The sequence below is a fragment of the Homo sapiens genome, chromosome 1, assembly GCF_000001405.40.
Source record: "Homo sapiens chromosome 1, GRCh38.p14 Primary Assembly".
NCBI lineage: Eukaryota > Metazoa > Chordata > Mammalia > Primates > Hominidae > Homo > Homo sapiens.
Window position 1 is genome coordinate 58989423 of NC_000001.11, and position 20808 is coordinate 59010230.

The window sequence follows — 20808 nt, forward strand, 5'->3', positions numbered from 1 at the left end:
AGCATTTCCTGGAGCTTCAGAACCCAAGGCATGTGTCTCCTAGAGGGGCAAATATTCACCTTGTAAGTCTACATACATTGTGTAAAACTAGTCAAAACTCTTTCAGAACCAGGTGAAGAGGATGAGTGATGGAAACAGGGACTGGCTCATAATGGGTGCTCTAGTCCATGTTTGTTAAATAAACCAGAGCAAGAAGACATGGAGGGAAGGAAAAAAGGAAGAAAAAACAAGATGAATTTTCTTATTTGGCTCTTAGACTAAACTTAAATGTCACTTTACAAAAAGGGAGTTGGCAGAGAAATAGAATCATAAGAGAAGGAAAAGGAACCAGCTTTTGTTGGGTGTTTATAATGTGTTTAATGGACCAGGCATTTTGTTTATGTGATCTTACTTTAATTTAAATGTGATACCACCCCACCAGAGCAGATATTATCATCTGAGTTCTACAGATGAGAAAATTTGAGCGCAGAGAAATTAAACAGTTTCCCAAGGCCTTATAGGTTTAAACTGTGGGTCTAATGAAATCAAAACTAGACTTAAACCCTTAAACCGGAGTCTCTGTGACTTCACCTCCCCTGATTTCTCCACATGAGTGAGATGTCTGGAGTCTCCCAAAGGGACTTCTTACAAGAGTCACACCCATTTGGATCCATGTATTCTGAGTGATTTTGTTTTTAGAAATCAGTCTCATTGCTTCATAATCACAGTTTATAGGTACCATGAGGACAAGTGCTGTGCTTTATTGATCCTAGTATCCCAAGACACTATCACAGTGCCTTTCCCCACCAGGAATGCTCAGACCATATTTACTGAAGGCCTTAAGTCAGATTCTCTGGCTTTATATAGTTGATCCACCCCAACATGCTCAATTCTCTGAGTCTTCTGATTTCTTCCTCCCTTCTCGCCCCTGGCTTGTCTACTTCAGTTAGTGTGGGCCCCTAGCATGGCCTCCTGAAAGATCCCCACACCCAATCTAGTGGCATATTGAGACTGTCTCTCAGGGTCCTTACCATATGTTAAATCCTGTGTAACACTACTGAGTGCTCCCATATCAATAAATTCTCCATTATTCGACTGTCTATACCATCACCACCACCCCCTGCCCCCGCCCCTGCCCACCACCCCCATGTCACCCATCTTGGATCCTCAGGATCCAGTTCTAGACACACACTCCTGGCTCCTGCTGGTGTAGGTTGGCTAGGCCCTACAGCTCCTTCAGGGTCTAGTCCCTTTCCTGGAAGCCCAGCAAGTCCCTGGCAGAATTATGTTGTGACTCGATCCTCATTTCTGGTCTGTTGGCCTGGAAGGGGAGCAGAAGGGTTCTACCTTGCCAGGCAGAGTCCTCTCTGTCATCTTCAAGCAAGGAGGAAGAGTTAGCCCATAATTGGGAAGACTGAGCCACTTCTGCAGCCCAGGAGGTACAAGCAGAGCTGGAATGTCAACATTCTCAGGTTCTCAAGGGCTTCAACCCAGATATTCTTAGCCCACATCTAAGGGTCCCACACCTCCTGACCAGGGCCCTGGCCTTCGTCTGTCAGGATGGTAAATTAGACTTTCATTGAAACTCTGCTACCCTTGTAATTAAGTCATGGCCTGATTCTCAGCTTCTCCTGCCCTCCAACTGCAGGAGATAAGAAAATGCTGTCAAGGAGGCCCTCTGACTTTCACACTTTGTCTTAAATTAGTGAATAATCACTTCAAGCCTGCACGACTTTCTCCAATACACTGATAGCACTCAGCAGCAGCATCTCATTCCACCGTCTTAATAATTGTGCTTTCCTCCATAGCTCTTGAATATCTGATATATTACACCTGTGGGTGCCTTTCCTTTCACTATAACCCCATCTCAGCTCCCTAAAAGTGAAAATTCTCCCATTTGTCAGGCTATAGCATGCCAGGTTCTATCAGTACTCTCCCTGCTCCAGAGATGGGATTTTAGTTGCCAGCCAGACAGCAGGTGATTCAGCTCCAAAATCCCAGTGTAGAGCCACTCTTGGTACCAACTGTCTTAGGATGAGGTTCAGTGCCTTGGGAAACAGACTCTAAGGCAGATATTTGCATGCAGGAAGTTTACTGGTGAGTGCTTCCGGAAACACCAGCCATGAGGGAGTAAGCAAAGTAGGATTAGGTGGAGGGAGAAGTTGAGCTGGGATGCAGCAGTCAGAGGCTCTGCAGTTTGGATGGTGCTTCTGAATTGTCACAAATTGAGGCCAGGGGACCAGGTTCTTGTACCTTTGACATCAATCCATGATGGATATGGACTGCCAATAGAAACCAGGCATAGCTTTGCTTGGGGGAGTACCATTCAACCAAGAGTAAATCTTGAACAAGAAGAACTGTGAGCTGTCAGTTACCAACACTATTGGCAATTAGGGGAATGATCTTAGTTGGGCATCTGGGCAGTACTCTACAGCATTCTCTACACTGGATGAATAGATGGATGAATGAATGAATAATGAATGAATGAATGTTCTGCTTGTCTTCCTAACTACTTTGGAAATCCTGAGAAAAGGACTTTGATATTCTGTGGTCTTTTTAGACCCAGCAGTGCTGGTTGCCCAGTTATTATAATTGCTTTAGCCTTAGAAAGAACCTTTGAAAATGCCGCTGTAATTCAATTTACTTATTTTCCAGATTAAAAAAAAATCAAGGTCTAAAATGATTAAATAATTTGCCTAAAGCTCCACAGTAAGTTTGTGATTCAGCCTAGACTTCATAAGTATTTTATCAGCCTCAGAAACAGAGGTTTAAGCACATGAGGATTTCCTCTATTGTACAAAAGAAGTCCGAAGTCCCAGCGTTGGTTGAAGGCTCTATGGTTATCAGGGACACCCCCATTCTATCACATGGCTTCCATCCTCAAAGTCACCTCAAGGTCCAACATGGCTTCAGAGATCCATGAAACACGTCTGGTTTTAGCTTGGCAGCAGGAGAAATCAGGAGAAAGCAAAAGGACACTTTACTATTCCTTTCAAGGAGCCTTCCCTGAAGCCCCACTAGCCCCTTCTGACTACACCACCCTTGAGCAGAACTTTGTCCTGTGACTTCTCCACCTGTAAGGAGAGCTAGGAAATGTAGCTTTATTCTAGATGACAATTTGCCCAGTAAAGAATAGGAGTTCCATATTGCAACACAAAGGGGAAAACAAGTATTTGGTAGGTAATTTACAATCTCTAACATATTGGTTATTGGGCTGTTACAGAAAAGCATACATTTCGGAATCATACCTAGATCGGTCTCCTCCTACATGTAAGACTAGCTTAAAGTTATTTAACCTCTAGACTTTTAGTTTCTACATGTGTGAAACAGACAACAATCCTTATCCTCACAGATGTATTGTGCACTAATGTGTGGAAAGCACCTAGCACAGTGTCAAGTATTTGGATTGGTAGAATGTCTATCCCTCCTACTCCCACATTATTGAATAACTTGGTTAAAACTTAATGGCATTACACCCCATTGTCCTGTTCAAATAAACCTGAGGAACAGTTACTATTTTGTTCTTGGAGCATAGTGTGATTGAGACACATGTCCAAGCTTTCCACCCATTTGCTGGGTGTAGTTTAAGGGGGAAGAATAGAAAAGTCTGTTTCGATACTTTCCACTGACTTTTCCTTGCATTCAGGTGGAGGCAGACAGACATAAAACAAAAACCATTCCCAGAGAATTTTTGAAATAAAAGCCTTTCTTCTCTATTTTATCCCATTCAGGAGACCAGATCTGAGTTCACTTGCTGGGCAGATCCTCCCCATGCAACACAGCCACTGCCTCCTCTACGCAGACCTCCCTGCTCCTTTGGGTGGCTCAGCCCCTCAGAGAGTTTATAGTTACATTACTGAGTTAGACCCTGTGCAAGAAGCTGGGGATATAGACATGTGGAAGTAAAGGTTTCTGCTTTTGAACAACCCCAGTCTAGTGAGAGAGACCAATATGTGAAGAGATAATATCACTTACTTTAATTGGATGCTCTATAAAAGGACATAGGGGGTACAGAGAAGCTCCTAACCCAACTTGGAGCAGGAAGTTCATTGAGGACTTCTCAGAGGTGGTTATGTTTAAGCTGCATCTTAAAGGATGAAGAAGAGGGCAAAGCAGGGAGAGAGTATCCAAGGAGAGAGAACAGCAAGGACAAAAGTTTGGTAGAATGACACAGGAGTGTGTTAGAAACTGCAAATTGTTTCGTAATAGTTAGATTATAAATGAGGACATAGGGAGACTTCATTATTGGAAGGGTCATTGGGTCTGACATTTGAAGTACCAATGCTTTGCCCCCAAGCCACCTCTCTTCATGAACTCTGGAAAGCAGTGACCTCCGACATCAGTGTCGGTATTCAAGCAGTGGCAAATGGCAGGGGATACAGCATAGTAAAGCTGCTCTAATCATTCTGTAATTGATCGTTGCTAGAGTCACTTTTAGTTTTAGGATTCTGTGATTCAGGATGCTACCAGAGCACTTTTTTATAGATGTGTCATCTGAAAACATCTGGCCTTGAGTTTCTTTGTGTTCTCTTGGCAGTTCCTAATTTTCTTTAAATAGAAAATACACAAGAAAATAGATGAGCAATTTTGAACACCTACATTGTAATAAACAGCTACTTTCACATGCCAGCTTCTGTAAGCCTCACAGGTAATTGTGATAAAAATGACTAGCCTACATCTTAACAGATAATGAAACTGGCCCAGAGAGGTTAAGTGACATGCCTAATGTTACACAGCTGGTGAGTAATGGCACGGGGAGTTAAACCTAAGAGCACCTGACTCCAAGTCTCTGCAAACTTAAGATGCACCATCTTGGCTGGGCGCGGTGGCTCACGCCTGTAATCCCAGCACTTTGGGAGGGCAAGGAGGGCAGGTCACGAGGTCAGGAGATGGAGACCATCCTGGCTAACATGGTGAAATCCCGTCTCTACTAAAAATACAAAAAAAAAAAAAAAAACATTAGCCGGGCATGGTGGCAGGTGCCTGTAGTCCCAGCTACATGGGAGGCTGAGGCAGGAGAATGGCGTGAACCCGGGAGGTGGAGCTTGCAGTGAGCCGAGATGGCACCACTGCACTCCAGCCTGGGTGACAGAGCGAGACTCTGTCTCAAAAAAAAAAAAAAAAGGCACCATCTTAAATGTCCATCCTGGATAAGACGGAACTTCGTTTTACTCCTCTCCTTCCCTCCTTTCTTCAGTTTTAAATCATTGCTCTTTGGGAAATTTTTCCTGCACTCTCACCTTGAAATTGAGACAGTAACTGAGAATTCCAAAAGAGACAGCCTGAACATGCTGAGGTTCAGTTTTCCCTAGGAGACTGGGGATTTATTTCATAATTCACTCTTTTGTTAGCAAATTCTTGCCACAGATGGTTTTTAATGTCTCAGTATCATAGAAGGTTGGACTTCAGTCTACTGTAAACCAACCCTCATTTTTGTACATGTGAGGACATCAAGGCTCAAAGTGGAGCAGAGGGTTACACATGGTCACTCAGAGAGTGAGCAGAATTTAATGTAATTTCGTGAGAATATTGCTTTTGGATTTATTGTCTCCCTTTTTCTAGTGGATTTTTGGCTCCAGGAAAAGATGCAATAAGCGAGGCATGAGCCTAGACATGCAGACTTTTGGCAGGAGTTGTTGTGCTAGTTCAGAAACTGGTATAAAAACTTTAAAGGGGGTGGGAGAAGATCATCAGGTTTCTGCTGACTTGGGATCATCAGAAAGTCAACTCTTCTCAGCATGAAGCACTGTACCGAAGGAATGTGTAGGACCATGTGGGTATTGCAGAGAATTTTATGTCTCCAGGAGGAAAAGAAGCTTACAGACCATTAAGTACAATTTTCCAATTTTGCAAATGAGCAAACTGAGGCTCAGAGAGGTGAGGTGACTTTTACATAGTCATAAAGCTAGGGAGAGGCAGAGCCAGGATTCAAATCCAGTCCTTATGAGCCAGAAAGGCTCTGCATCAGTCACTAGAGCACCAAACACTTGGGTTCAGTCTCTGGTTCTGCTGCTTTCAAGCTTTGTGTCTTTAGTAAGTTGCTTAACATCTCTGAACATTAGCCACCTTGTCAATAAAATGAGGTCAGTGGTCTATACTCAGAGTGTTGCTGTGAGAATTAAATATTACTATTACATAGGTGGAAGTGTCTGGTACATAGTAGCTATTCATTCTGTGCCAGAGCCGCCCACCCCACCCTGAAGCCTTGGAAATATTTCTTTGAGGCAAGGGAGACAGTGAGTTGTCACCGGTTATTTTAAATATAAAGGTGTCAGTTAGGAAGTCAGTGTGTGAAAATGCCTGGTGTTCTGAAGAAGAAAGAAGCAGCACAGTGTTTCTGGAGCATAGGTGTGAGCAGGAGTCCGTGGGGCTGGAGGAACCAGCAATGGGCAGAGCCTGGTGGAGTGTTTTGTTGTTGTTTGCCATGTGAAGTAGCTTACACTTGGTCCTCTATGTGAAGGAAAACACAAAAGGTCTTAACCCAGAAGAATACCTGGATTTGCATGTTTTAAAGGGCCCCATAAAGACTGTGTGTCTAGGTGAGAGCGGATATCAGGGAGCTATTAAGAAACTATTGTAATTGTCCAGGAGAGAGGCAGTAGGGCCTAAACTGGGGCAGAAGAAGTTAATGTGGCCTAGATGGCAGAGACAGGGTTTGGAAATCTAGATCAATAGGGTTTGGAAACTAACTTAATGTAGAGGGTAAGAAAGAAGAAAGTATTTACAATGATTCCCTCTTCTGGCATTAAAACATAAAAACTTCCACAGACCAAAGTTACGATAAACAAAGTGAGAAAGGCAAGAGACAAATGGGGAAAAGTATTTGCTACGTATATGAAAGATAATAGACTATATACAAGTATTAACTAAGAATATCAATAAGAAAAAGATTTTTAAAAGTCTAACAGAAAAGAACTGATATAAACAAATAAATCCAGAAGAAGAAATATAAATGGGCAGTAAACTTTGGAAAAGAAGCCCAATATCACTAGTAATCAGAAAAATAAAACACTGAGGTATCACTTCATACATATTGTCACATACTGAAAAATCTAATGATACCAACAGTTGATGAGCACAGGAAACAGTGAAAAGACTCAGACATTGCTGGTGTAAGTCTAAATTGTTACATCATCACTTTGGAGAACATTTGGGCATTATTCAGTAAATTTGATGATAGGTATACTCTGTATCTCAGCAATTTCACATTTAAGTATATATTGTGGATAAGCTCTGCATATATTCACAGAGAATACGCAGACAAAACCCAAGAGCGTATCAATGGAGAAATGCATTGTAGTATATTCATCTCATGTAAGACTTATAACAGTTAAAAATAACTGAGCTGGGACATTCTGGTTTTAGCTAGTGAGCACACTCTAATCTGTCTCTCTTACTACTGACAACTAAAAAGCCTGGAGAGAATACATAAGGATTTATCTGAGGACTCTGACAAGTAAACAATAACAGGTGGGTTGGGAAGGGAAATAAAAACTGAAAGCACAACTGATACAGGGGTGTAATTAGTCAGCATTCTCAAGAGAAAACCAATAGGATGCATATATATATATTTTTTTCTTTATGTGTGTGTGTGTATATATATATATATATACACACACACACATAAAGATATATGTACATATATACACACATACAGATGTATCTATAGATATATATCTGTCTATAGATATAGATAGATATATATCTATATATCAAGAGAGATTTATTGTAAGAAATTGGATCATGTGATTATAGAAGCTGAAAGGCCTCAAGATCTTCAGTCAGTGAACTGGAGGCCTAGGACAGATGGTGGTATAGTTCCATTCTGAATCTGAAGGTCTGAGAACCAGGAGAGCCACTGGTGTAGAACCAGTCCACAAGCTGGTAGCCTCAAGACCTAGGAAGAGCTGATGCTTCAAGTTTGAAGGAAGGAAAAAAACAATGTCCCAGCTCGAAGTCAGTCAGGCAGGATGAGCTCCCTCTTATTCATGGGAAGGTCAGTCTTTTTGTTCTATTCAGGCCTTCAACTGATTGGATGATACCCATACACACTGGGGAGGGCCATCTGCTTACTCAGTCTGTCAATCTAAATATTAATCTCATTCACAAAAAACCTTGTAGACACACCCAAAATAATGTTTGATCAAATGTTTGGGTACCCCAATGCCCAGTCAAGTTGATACATAAAATCAACCATCACTAGGGGGTTAAGTGTCCTGAGGTTTTCTCCCCCTGCTATATCTCCTAGCTGAAACCCTAGGGCAGCCTGGATCTCTGAAGTGTGCAGTAAACATGGACAGAAAAACATCAAGATGAACTCTCTCTTTCTGGCTGGAAGACTGGGAGGGCGGGCCCTTCAGGACAAAGACTGTAGGGGTACTCTCATTTCATTTTACTTTTTTTATTCTCCTAGCTTGGTGCCAAAGCCAGACTTAGTCATGAACTATACTCCTGCAGCAGTGGTGGCAACAGTGGTTCTTAGGCAATAAAAAGTGTAAGAGAAAATTCTTCCCTCTGACCAAAGGAACTGGGAAAATAGACCCCTGCAGTCTAAAGACTGTGAAGCAGTCTCCATTATTTTGTTCCTCCTTTTTCTAACTGCTTCATTCTCAAAGTGGACACAGTTGTGAAAAATGTCTGACAGCACAGGAGGCTAAAACCCTGGCTTTCTCTCCAGCACAACAGGAAAATGTGACCCTGCATATGGAAGAGTGGGGAAATCATAGAGAAGAGGGAGATGGAAAAAGAGATCTCTTAAATCTGGGTATGAAATCCTGGGCTCACTCGCAGGATTCACGTACAAGGAACTGACCCAAAACAGTATAATGAAGGCTTTGAGTCTGAACTACAATGTGGGCCGTTTCCTAGGCCCCAGACCAGCCCCTGGATAGTGTCCACATGGGGCAGACCCTAATAGCACTGCAAAGGCTTTGAAAATGAAGCTAGCATTAGAACCTCATCCCACAAAAAGTAAGTTGGGAGTTGGGGTATGAGCCTAACTCTTTTAATTGCTTTAGAAAAAAATCAACATTCTTCAGAGAATTTTTTTTTTTTTTGAGACAGAGTCTCAGTGCAACACCCACACTGGAGTGCAATGGAATGATCACAGCTCACTCCAGCCTCAACTTTCCTAGGCTCAGGTACTTCTCTCATCTCAGCCTCCCAAGTAGCTGGGACAGCAGGTGCACACCACCATGCTTGATTAATTTTTTGTATTTTTTGTAAAGACAGGGTTTTGCCATGTTTCCCAGGCTAGACTCAAACTCCTGGGCTCAAGTGACCTACCCATCTTGGCCTCCCAAAGTGCTGAGATTACAGGCAAACCACCACACCCAGCCTCTTCAAAGAATCTTAACAGGACCTAGAGAATTATACATAATTCAAATGTCTAAGATACAATTCAAAATTAATCAATACACAAATAACAAAAAAAAAAAAACAAGAAAATCTCACCAACTCTCAAAGAAAAAAGACAATCAACCAATCAACACACACCAACACCAAATTGACCAAGGTACCGATGGTGGAATAAACAAAGACTCTAAGAAACTGTTATACACACACACATACACACCTCCTCCACACACACACAAATATAATTAAGCTCCATGAAGTGGGAGAGAGCATTAGTGAATAGTGAAACAAATGAAAAGATGGACACTTTCAGCAAAGAGAAGCTATTGAAAAAAAATGAAAATTTTATAATGAAAAATACAATGATAGAAATAAAATAATTCGCTGAAGGAGATCAGTAACATAATGGAGATAGAGTCAGTGAACTTGAAGATGAGGAATTAGGCTGGCCATCTTTTCCTGTAAAGGAACAGATAGTAAATATTTTAGAATTGAATGACCATAAACTATGTCATAACTCCTCAGCTCTACAATTATAGCATGAAAACAGCCATAGATCATATGTAAATTAATGGAAATAGCTGTTTCAATAAATCTTTATTTAATGAACAGGCAAGCTAGATTTGTCCTGTGAACCATGGTTTTCTGACCACTGAGATAGATCAATAGAAGCTATCTAATCTGAAAAATACAGAAAAGTAACTGAAAAACAATAAGCAGTCTCAGGGACAAGTGGCCTGATATCACAAGATGTAACATTCATGTCATCAGAGTGAAATGACAGAATGATAGAAAAGAGAAGAAAGAGATTAGTATTAGAAAAATATTTGAAGAAATCACGGCTAAAACTTCTCAGATTCGGGGGAATTCATGTGGAGGTCAAAGTGGAAACAGGTGTGAGAGGTCCAGCAGAAGAAAACATGGCTGCCAAAGTGTTTGAGTCCATAGGCAAGTTTGGCCTGGTCTAAGCTGTTGCAGGAGGCGTGGTGAACTCTGCCTTATATAATGTGGATGCTGGGCACAGAGCTGTCATCCTTGACCGATTCCGTGGAGTACAGGAAATTGTGGTAGGGGAAGGGACTCACTTTCTCATCCTCTGGGTACAGAAACCAGTTATCTTTGACTGCCATTCTTGACCACGTAATGTGTCAGTCATCACTGGTAGCAAAGATTTACAGAATGTCAACATCACACTGCACATCCCCTTCCAGCCCGTCGCTAGCCAGCTTCCTCGCATCTTCACCAGCATCGGAGAGGACTATGATGAGCCTGTGCTGCCATCCATCACAACTGAGATGCTCAAGTCAGTGGTGGTTTGCTTTGATGCTGGAGAACTAATCACCCAGAGAGAGCTGGTCTCCAGGCAGGTGAGCGACAACCTTACGGAGTGAGCAGCCACCTTTAGGCTCATCCTGGACGACGTGTCCTTGACATATCTGACCTTCAGGAAGGACTTCACAGAAGCAGTGGGAGCCAAACAGGTGGCTCAGCAGGAAGCAGAAAGGGCCAGATTTGTGATGGAAAAGGCTAAGCAGCAGAAAAAGGCAGCTATCATCTCTGCTGAGGGTGACTCCAAGGCAGCTGAGCTGATTGCCAACTCACTGGCCACTGCAGGGGACGGCCTGATCGAGCTGCGCAAGCTGTAAGCTGCGGAGGACATCGCCTACCAGCTCTCACGCTCTCAGAACATCACCTACCTGCCAGCGGGGCAGTCCGTGCTCCTCCAGCTGCCCCAGTGAGGGCCCACCTTGCCTGCACCTCCACAGGCTGACTGGACCACAGCCCTGATGATATTTAACATCGACTTCCTTCTGCCCCCACCCCAGAAATCACTGTGAAATTTCATGATTGGCTTAAAGTGACGGAATTAAAGGTAAAATCACTTCAGATCTCAAAAAAAAGAAAAATTCTCAGATTTGATGAAAGTCATAGATTTACAGCTTTAAAAAGCTCAAGAAACCCCAAACAAGATAAATTCAAAGTAAAATACACCAAGACACATGATGAAACTGAATACAATGAAAAACATCTTGAAAGAAACCAGAAAACATTGGGGAACAATGATCGCATATTTCTCATCAGAAACCGTGGAGACCAGAAAACAGTGAAACAACATTTTTAAAGGCCTATGAGAAAAGAGCTGCAAACCCAGAATTCTATATCTAGTGAAAATATCCTTCAGGAGCGAAGACAAAATTAAGATATTCTCAGATAAAGGAAAATCAGCAAAATGTGTTACTAGTAGACCTGCTCTAAAATAAATGCTAAAGGAAGTTCTTCAGGTGGAGAGGGAATGATAAAACAACAAAAATACTTGGACTTTAGGAATGAAGAAAGCATAAGATAAAAAGAGAAAAGATATAATTTACCAATATCTGGAACAAAAAAGAGGCTATCACCGCAGAACTCACAGATTTTAAAGGATAATTGATATACTATAAATAACTCATAAATTTGACAGCTTAGATAAAATGGTCCATTTTCGTAAAATACACAAACTACCAAAACTCACTAGTGAAGAAATATATGACCTACGTAGTCCTATATTTACTAAAGAAATTGAGATTATAGTTAAAGACCTTCCAATGAAGGAAAGTTTGGGTCCAAGTGGTTTTACTGGTGAATTGCACCAAACATTAAAAAAAAGTTAATTGTATATAAGCTTTCAAAAAATAGGGAAAAGGAACATTCTCAACTCCTTTTAAGTGGCCAGCATTATCCTGATATCCAAACCAGACACAGCACAATAATATAAAATAAAATTAAACAAAATATTAGCAAATCAAATCCAGTAGCATATGAAAAGGATAATAGCTCACAACCAAGTGGGATTAATATGAAGAATGCAAGGTGATTCATCATCGAAAAAAATCAAAGACTGTAATCCACCCTATTAACAGACTAAAGAAAAACTACATGATAATAGATGCAGAAAAAGCAATATCTATCTATGGCAGACTCAGCAAACTAGGAATAGTAGGGATCTTCCTTAACATGGTAAATGGCAACTACAAAAATAGAGTACATAATTCTACATGAATAAATCCCAAAGATAAAATGTTGACCAAGAAAGAAAATTGCTGGATATTTATAGTATGATATCATTTATATAAAGTTTTGCTATATGCAAAATTATTACAATTGCTTATGGATAAAGTATAAATGTTTGCAAGGGAATAGCAAATATTAAAATCAGATAGTGGCCACATCTGGGGAGTGACAGAAGGGAATAGGATTGGAGATTGACACACAAGGAGCCGCAGCTTTACTGTAATGTTCGAACTCTTCTTAAAAAATCTGAATCAAATATGACAAAATGATAAGATTTGAAGAGCAAAATGAAAGAGACATGACCATTCATTACATTGTCTGTATTTTCCTGTATAGTGAATATTTTATAGTTTTTTATTTTATTTTATTTATTTATTTTTGAGAAGGAGTCTGGCTCTGTCACCCAGGCTGGAGTGCAGTGGTGCAATCTCGGCTCATTGCAACCCTCTGCCTCCTGGGTTCAATGATTCTCCTGCCTCAGACTCCACAGTAGCTGGGATTACAGGCATGCACCACCACGCCCGGCTAATTTTTGTATTTTTAGTAGAGACAAGGTTTCGCCATGTTGGCCAGGCTGGTCTCGAACTCCTGACCTCAGGTGATCTGCCCGCCTCAGCCCCCCAAAATGCTAGGATTGCAGGCATGAGCCACTGTGCCCAGCAAGTTTTTTAACTATGTAAGCACTATATATTTAAAATATATAAACACTGATAAAAGCGTCCTCAGGATCTTACGGAAGCACAAAGCGTAGGGGAGGAGGAAAGAATAGGTCTTCGAGGGCTTCCCGCAGGTGATGCTAGTAATTCTTAAACAGTTACCACATGCCAGGTAATGCTCTAACTTCTAGAAGTAGTAGCTTACTTATTTTACACAACAACCCTATGAAGCTTGCACACCTATCCTCAGTTAGAGATAAATTGAAACCCAGAGAGGTTAAATAACTTGCTCCAAGTCAGAAAGCTAGAAAATAAGAGTTGGGATGAAAACCAGGCAGCCTAGACCCAAATCCTGAACTGGTCAACCACACGAACAATCCACTGCAATGCTTTACTTTAGAGCAATTACTCTGCTTGCTGTGTGGACAACAGTGTAGACTCAGGCAAGGCTGAAGGCAGGGCGATAGTGGGCCCTTTTTGCTTATTGATTTCCTTACTAAATTATTTATTTATTTATTTATTTTGAGACGGAATCTTGACCCGTTGCCCAGGCTGGAGTGCAATGGCAGGATCTTGGCTCACTGCAACCTCTGCCTCCCGGGTTCAAGTGATTCTCCTACCTCAGTCTCCCAAGTAGCTGGGATTACAGGCCTGCGCCACCATGTCCTGCTAATTTTTGTATTTTTAGTAGAGGAGGGCTTTCGCCATGTTGGTCAGGCTGGTCTCGAATGTCTGACCTCAGGTGATCCACCCCCTCGGCCTACTACAGTGCTGATATTATAGACGTGAGCCACCGCACCCAGCCTCCCTACTGGAATCTTATATATTCTTAATGCAAACCTTTGTGTATTTTATATATTTAGCAACTACTTTCCCATTCATGCCTCATCTTTTCTCTTTGTTTGTGGTGGCTTTTGTATATAGAAGTTTTTACTTCCCTCTGGAAAATGGAACCTGATTCAGGGGTGAAAGAGAGGAAAATTCAAGAGAGGTTATAAAAGTGGAGGAAATGGTGAGGTTTGGTGAACATTCCGACCTCCTTGTTTGCAAAGCAGGCTGGCTAAGCAGCGAGAACACTTAATTCTCTCTGCCGTGTCCATGACTAAATTTGTCTTCTGTAGTTTTTGAAGGCAGCCTCACGTTTGGCTTTGCATTTCCCATGACACCTACACAGCACCTGAGGGCCTGGGAGGCTGGTTTACTCCACACCTAGAAGCCAAGGACTGGCCATAGTTTGAGACATGATCCTCACTACCGGGGCAGGGAAATGAGGAAAATACTGGCAATGGAGTGGGGTTCTTATAAAGCTCAGTTTATTCAGTTGAATAAACTTTCTTTTATCATGCATGTGTGTGTGTGTGTGTTTTTCCAAAGGGTATGTGGTTAAAATTTCTTTTTATGCAGGGATAGTGGCATTAGATCATAAATTAATTGATTTCCAATGTTCTCATTTTGCCAAATAAAAAGTTGGCAACACTCTATCGATGCCTCGAAATTATTTTTATATTTTTCTGCTCAGTTAAATTAAAAAAAATATTTGAGAACAACTGTCATAGACAAAAGAGCTTTTAAGTCTCAAAAACATGTGTTTTCAGTTGGGTCACATATATTAGTTCTATGACCAGAATGCAAGTTACTGAACTTTGGAGAATATTGGTTTCTTCACTAAAATGGGATAATTACACCCACCTTAGGGAGATTGTAAGGATCAAATGAGAGAATATCAGTAAGGGGCTCAGTTTCACATATGGTTCACTTCTGGTTTATTTTTCTGCCCTCTCCCTTCCTGGCAGGCAGGGACTAGATTTTACTTGCATGCTCTGACAATCATTCAGTTTAGACCTGGATCATAGTAGGTGCTCAAAAAATAGTCTGTTAAAAACCACCATGAGATGCCATGTCACAGTCATTAGAATAGAATAACTACCATCAAAAAGAACAATAACAGAAAATAACAAGTGTTAATGAAGATGTAGAGAAATTGGAATTCTTGTGCCTTACTGGTGGAAATGTGACATGGTGCAATTACAGAACAAAACAGTATGGTAGTTTATCAAAAAATATTGGATTACCATATGATTCAACAATACTACTTCTGGGTGTATACCCCAAAGAAATGAGAGTAGGGACTTGAACAGATATTTGTACACCCACATTCATAGAAGTATTATTTATAATGGAAAAAAGGTGGAAGCTACTCAAGTGTCCATTAACAGATGAATGGATAAACAAAATGTGGCCTATACATACAATGAAATATTATTCAGCCTTAAAAACGAAGGAAATTCTGAGATATGTCACCGCATGGATGAACCTTGAGGACATCATATTAAGTAAAATAAGCCAGTTACAAAGGGGGCAAATACTGTATAATTCCACTCCTATGAGGAGCCTAGAGTAGTCAAGTTCATAGAAACAGGAAGCAGAATGGTGGTTGTGAGGAGCTGGGGAAAAGGAGAAATGGAGAGTTATTGTTTAATGAGTATGGAGTTTCAGTTTTGGAAGATGAAGAATGTTCTGGGGATGGATGGTGATGATGGTTGCACAACAGTGTGAATGAACTTAACTCCACTGAATTGCACACCTAAATATGGTTAACATAGTAAGTTTTATGTCCATTTTTCAACAATTAAAAGTAAAAATTTAAAATTTAACAAAAACGTTTAATTGTCTGTTAAATAAAAGAGCTAATGAATGAATGAGGAGAAGGATAGAGCCAAGAGGATGCCTAAGGCAAGAAACTTCCAAGCAAGGAAATAGCAAGTGTGTTTGCTCAGCCAAAACCAGCTAAGGGGTTTGCTCACCTGCTGTAGGTAAGAGAGGGGGATGGCAGAGGAAATGAGGGCTGAGGTGTTGCCAGGGGGCAGATCATGCAGGGCTGTACAGGATTTTGCCTTTTATCTTAACTGAATATGATGGGATGTGATGGGAGGAAACAGGTAAGAGAGTAAATGAGTCAATGGAAGTGAGGAAGGAGTACTAGAAGTCCAGAAGTGTGTCCAGATGCTGAGGGCCTAGAGCAGAGGTTCTGTGTCCTCCACTCCCCAAGCACACACCTGCTCTCAGGACTGAGTTGACCCCTGGAACATCCCAGAACCCTGGATTATCTGATCAGACCCCTCCACCCTGGCATGTCCTAAGGATGATTTTGCCTGAACAGGGGAACATGTGTGTCTTCCCCAGTGATGGCTGGGGCTCTGGCACAAATGCAGATCATTACTCTTGGTTTCTAATGTGGGAGGAGGAAGTGTGAAGGGTGGAGGAGGTGTTTCTTTTATCACACAATTAGATTAGAAACTGGCTGGCTGCTCAGGGCAGGGTTCCACCCAAACTAGGCCTACAGGAGAGTTGTCCTGCTGGGTGGCCCCATCTCAGTCTTCAGGGGCTTAATGTTTTTAGACCTGACTTCTTCACTGTTCAAATTCTTGAGAAAAGGCATATAGTGTGGTTCACATGAAAACTCAAACCAGATTCCAAAAACTCACTTTGAGTCCTCATATCATTCATGTATTCATTTATTAATTCATTCACTCATTCAACATTTACTGAGCACCTACTATGTGTCAAACACTATGCCAGGCATTGGGAATACACACATAGACTCTAACCTTGAGTTGCTCACAGAATCAATGGTGGAATAAAATAAACCTTGAATTATACTACAGTGAGTTAAGTACTATGACAAAACGGTAATAAAAAAATAAAACTAAGTTAGCCAATATTTATTCTTACTACATACTTACTATATGCCAGGCATTGCTTTAATTGATTTGTATATATGGACTTATTTTTTCCCTAGGCAAACCCTATGTGGTGGGCACTATTATCAGCCCACTTTATAGATGACGATAATGACTCACCAAGAGTATTAAGTGGCAAGCACACAATGCAGCTAGAAACTAGGGCAACCAGGAATAGCCCTGCTTATAACTCTCTGCTGCTTCTAGAGGTATGGGAACACAGAGAAGGACTGGCTAGGTATGTTTCACAGAGAAGGTGATGACTGGACTGATTGTTGCAGGATGAGAAGTTGGCCAATCAGAGGAAGATGGGGGCAGAGGATTGGTGAGGATTTTCACCCGTCGAAAGTTTCAAACAGAACTGTAAGTGGAAAGCAGGGAAGCATGACAGGGCATGTGCATTCCAGAGAATGTAAGAAGGGGAGAAGCAGGAGATGAGCTGGGAGAGAGGGCCTGGGCCGGGATGCCTGGTGAGAAGGGAGCTCATTTCTTTAGGCACTAGAGTCCAATGTGCTTTTTTACACCTGAAGTGATGTGATCACAGTCAGCACTTTAGGATTTTTGCAGGAGATTTATTCATGGTTTGGGTGGACTAATACTAGCCAATATGTGAATCACAATAAATTCTCTCTGACCTGGTGATTCTCCATTTGTACCCCCTTCCCAACCAGATCTGTTCTCTGGTCTGCACTGTGCCATCTGCACTGTGCCATAGAGAGGTTAATGCCCCTGATTGCCTCGGGGGACTCCTTTGCCTCCTATCTTCCAGTTGGGTTTAGCCAGTGGTAGGCATCGGCAAGAGATTAAAGGGTGGGAGGAGAAAGAGGTTGGGAATTTCCTCCAGCTCTTTCCCTGCTTCTGTGCCAGGGTCTGCCAGTGGCCGGGTTCCTCTGCAACCGTAGTTCCTGCCAGCAGCCCCTCCTCCATGGCTTCAGCAACATCTCACCCTCTTCCTGTCCTTGCAGATTCAGGGTAGCAATGGTTCCCTGGTGTTGCAAGTCTCTGAGTGCTTCAGCATCTCTCATTGGTTTCCTTAGCTCTGTCCCTATCCCTATAAATTGTTGTCCCTTCATCAAATCCCACTTCCAAGTCCGCGCTGCATGAGCCTTCTTTTTCTTGATCATAACTAGTCATGCTGAGAACTTACCCGATACCAATTACCATTTATTGAGTACCTACTGTGTACTTGGGGCTTCAAATGCATTTTTTTTTCCATTTAATTTTCACCACAGCTCCATGAGTTATGGACCATTTATATCCATTTCAGGAATCCCAAAAACAAGGCAGGCATACATTTAACATAGATGTTAAGTAACTTGCCCAAAATTATATAAGCCTTTTGTCCAGAGTTACACAGTTAGTCAGGAGCAAAGTTAAAATTCACACCCAGGTCTCTGGACTCTAAAACTCATCCTCTTTCTGTTGCTCTGCGGTCACTGAGTCAATTCTTATAAATGCTTAATTTGTCAGACTCTGGAAAACCAGTAACGGTAGCAGTAGTAAAATCTCTAGAGGAAGAGGGGATAGGGTATTCCGTGGAGGCTATAGGTCTTCTTGAGGAATGGTGGATCTTTAAGTAAAAGTTCCAGAACTTTGCCATTCCTGCATTGGTGGAAAACGCAATGGCAGGTGATTCACCAAAATATCCCTTGCTTCACAATGTGCAGTTCCTCTGTGGAGGGGAACTTAGCCCTTACTGAGTTCAGAAAGAAGAAGAAACTCATCCATCCAAGACCCACAGCAGAAAGCATAAGGGTTTATTTATAGAGAAGAATTTTATTATTTTTAAAAATCACTTGTGGGCTTCTGCACCAAAGCGTAGGAAAAAGCATGTGTTGGTTGCCAAGGGTCAAGGGAAACCACCTTGTTTTCTTGACAGCGCTGTGGCTGAAACAGCCCTTCCCAAAAACAATACGTTGGGGGAAGAAAGGCAAAACCAGTGGGAGGCCTGAAAATGCTGTGGTTTGCTTTTTATTTTATTTTTTTCCAGTGTCTTTGGGGCTGAAAAAGGCAGTGGAATGAATTCCACAACTAGTTTAAAATGCAGTGCCTCTTGCACTGGGAGCTCCGGGGGCTGCCCTCACATGACTCATGCCTTCCCCAACTCACCTCAGACCTCTCGTCCAGGCCCATCTGTCAAGGATAATAACAACAACACAGAAGTGATGCTGCCTTCACCTCCACCGTAGACTGCAGCGGCTCTTTCTGTTTCCTAAAACTCTTTCATAGTCTAACAAAAATGGCTGCCTTTCTCCTAAGTGCCAGGCTCCTTACTCTTAGGATTTTATCTCATCTGAACCACAACCTTTTGGAGACATCATTGTTATGCTCATTTGACAGATGAAGGAAGCCAGGCTCAGATGATTAAATACCATGCCCCAAATCACACAGCAAGGAGACAAGCTGAGATGTGAAGTCGGTGGTCTTATGCTTCAGAACAGTTCTGGGAATTCGCATTGTCTTCTCATTTTCCGAGGAGGAAACCAAAGTAGAGAGGTGGAGAGGATACTACAGACCAGGGCTCAGGGTGGCCCAGGCAGTGCTATCTCCAGGCACATGGTTCTGTCTCCTGAGGCTGTGACTCATGACGGTGCCAGACCATCAGCTAGACAAACCGCCACCCACTGGGCCACTCCAGCCAATTGCAAACCTTTGGCTTCAGAACCAAACATGTGTCCACATTGGCTCGGATATATCCACAGCCTTGCCTTGTAATGCCATCGGGCCCTCTGTATATTTTAAAAGCAGATGCCTCAGACCTCCAAAAGGCCAAGGGTTGCTTCTCGAATCTGACCTAAAAGGGCCTAACCTCAAGGACAGATCTGAATTCACCTGACATACAGCCCCAGGAGGAATCACAGAGAAAATGCTCTTACCTGGAACACCTCTACACAGACTGTTGCTGTCCTGCATGCTGCTTGCATTGAACTATGTCATTCACCAGCTGTGTGTCCCCAGACAAGGTACTGAACCTCTCTGAGCCTCACTTTCTTCAGAGGACCAGTTTAAGTTTTCACAGTCAGGAATTCATTCCTTCTAAAAACCTGTGCTAAGGAGACATGGCAAGGTGTTCTGGGCCTACAGAGACATGGGCAGAACTGGGGCAGAAGAGCAAAATGGATACTAAAGCTCTAAACCTGCCCACCAAGGTTCATAGTTTATTTTAAATTGGGGCTGTTTTGTGCCATTGCAAAGGAGGGTGAATATGCTTACAGTTATAAAATTCTGCTCTTCTTTCACAGAATTTCAGAGTAGATGGGTTGGTACAAGCTATCTTGTCTGACCACCTCCACATGGTATAGAGATTAAGGCCAGGAAAGGGAAGCCCTGGCTTGACACCTCACAAGGGCTTGAACCCAGACACAGTGCTCTTTCCAATGAGGGTCACTGCCAATCTAAAGAATTCTCTCATCTGCATATTGGACTAGGAACCTCTAACTCATAGCACTTTTCTGAGGATAATAAGAAAAAAGGGATAGGAAAATGTTTTGTACACAAATGCAGTACATGTCTGACAAGAGGTATTATTAATTTCAAATAGTCATGTGATGCTTCTTCAGTGACGCTGAAGAAGGGACCTGTGGCAGGGCTTCTAGGAGGTATGGCTCAACAAGTGTGCTTTAATTTGTCTTTAGTCAGTATACTGACATTATTTAGAAAGTTTAATCAACGTTGAAGGTAGAGAATATCTGATTTGTTTGTCAAAATGAGTGCCTGCATGTTGAAAGTTATGGTTTACCAAGAGTCCCCAACCTGTATGTCTATAGGAACCTGGAGATTAAAGCCTGAAAGTGAGTGGTAAGAATTAAAATCTACCTCCTTCATTATGTTGATGGCTATTTTTTTTTTTTTTGAGACGGAGTTTTGCTCTTGTTGCCCAGGCTGGAGTGCAGTGGCGCAATCTCGGCTCACTGCAACCTCTGCCTCCTGGGTTCAAGCAATTCTCCTGCCTCAGCTTCCCGAGTAGCTGGGATTATAGGCATGTGCCACCACGCCTGGCTAATTTTGTGTTTTTAGTAGAGACATGG

General features: G+C 42.0%; 1 pseudogene, besides 6 other annotated features; it reads left to right on the forward strand.

Annotated features, from left to right (window-relative positions):
• Positions 7412 to 7551: an enhancer, noted in NCBI's record as "active region_1095". NCBI's record gives its function as "activates an Ori minimal core promoter by ATAC-STARR-seq in GM12878 lymphoblastoid cells {active_cell/tissue: GM12878}" and the evidence as "EXISTENCE:reporter gene assay evidence [ECO:0000049][PMID:35858748]".
• PHB1P3 (PHB1 pseudogene 3) lies at positions 10195 to 11229 on the forward strand (annotated as a pseudogene).
• Positions 16002 to 16201: an enhancer, noted in NCBI's record as "active region_1096". NCBI's record gives its function as "activates an Ori minimal core promoter by ATAC-STARR-seq in GM12878 lymphoblastoid cells {active_cell/tissue: GM12878}" and the evidence as "EXISTENCE:reporter gene assay evidence [ECO:0000049][PMID:35858748]".
• Positions 18406 to 18515: an enhancer, noted in NCBI's record as "active region_1097". NCBI's record gives its function as "activates an Ori minimal core promoter by ATAC-STARR-seq in GM12878 lymphoblastoid cells {active_cell/tissue: GM12878}" and the evidence as "EXISTENCE:reporter gene assay evidence [ECO:0000049][PMID:35858748]".
• Positions 18786 to 18835: an enhancer, noted in NCBI's record as "active region_1098". NCBI's record gives its function as "activates an Ori minimal core promoter by ATAC-STARR-seq in GM12878 lymphoblastoid cells {active_cell/tissue: GM12878}" and the evidence as "EXISTENCE:reporter gene assay evidence [ECO:0000049][PMID:35858748]".
• Positions 18856 to 18905: an enhancer, noted in NCBI's record as "active region_1099". NCBI's record gives its function as "activates an Ori minimal core promoter by ATAC-STARR-seq in GM12878 lymphoblastoid cells {active_cell/tissue: GM12878}" and the evidence as "EXISTENCE:reporter gene assay evidence [ECO:0000049][PMID:35858748]".
• Positions 18946 to 19015: an enhancer, noted in NCBI's record as "active region_1100". NCBI's record gives its function as "activates an Ori minimal core promoter by ATAC-STARR-seq in GM12878 lymphoblastoid cells {active_cell/tissue: GM12878}" and the evidence as "EXISTENCE:reporter gene assay evidence [ECO:0000049][PMID:35858748]".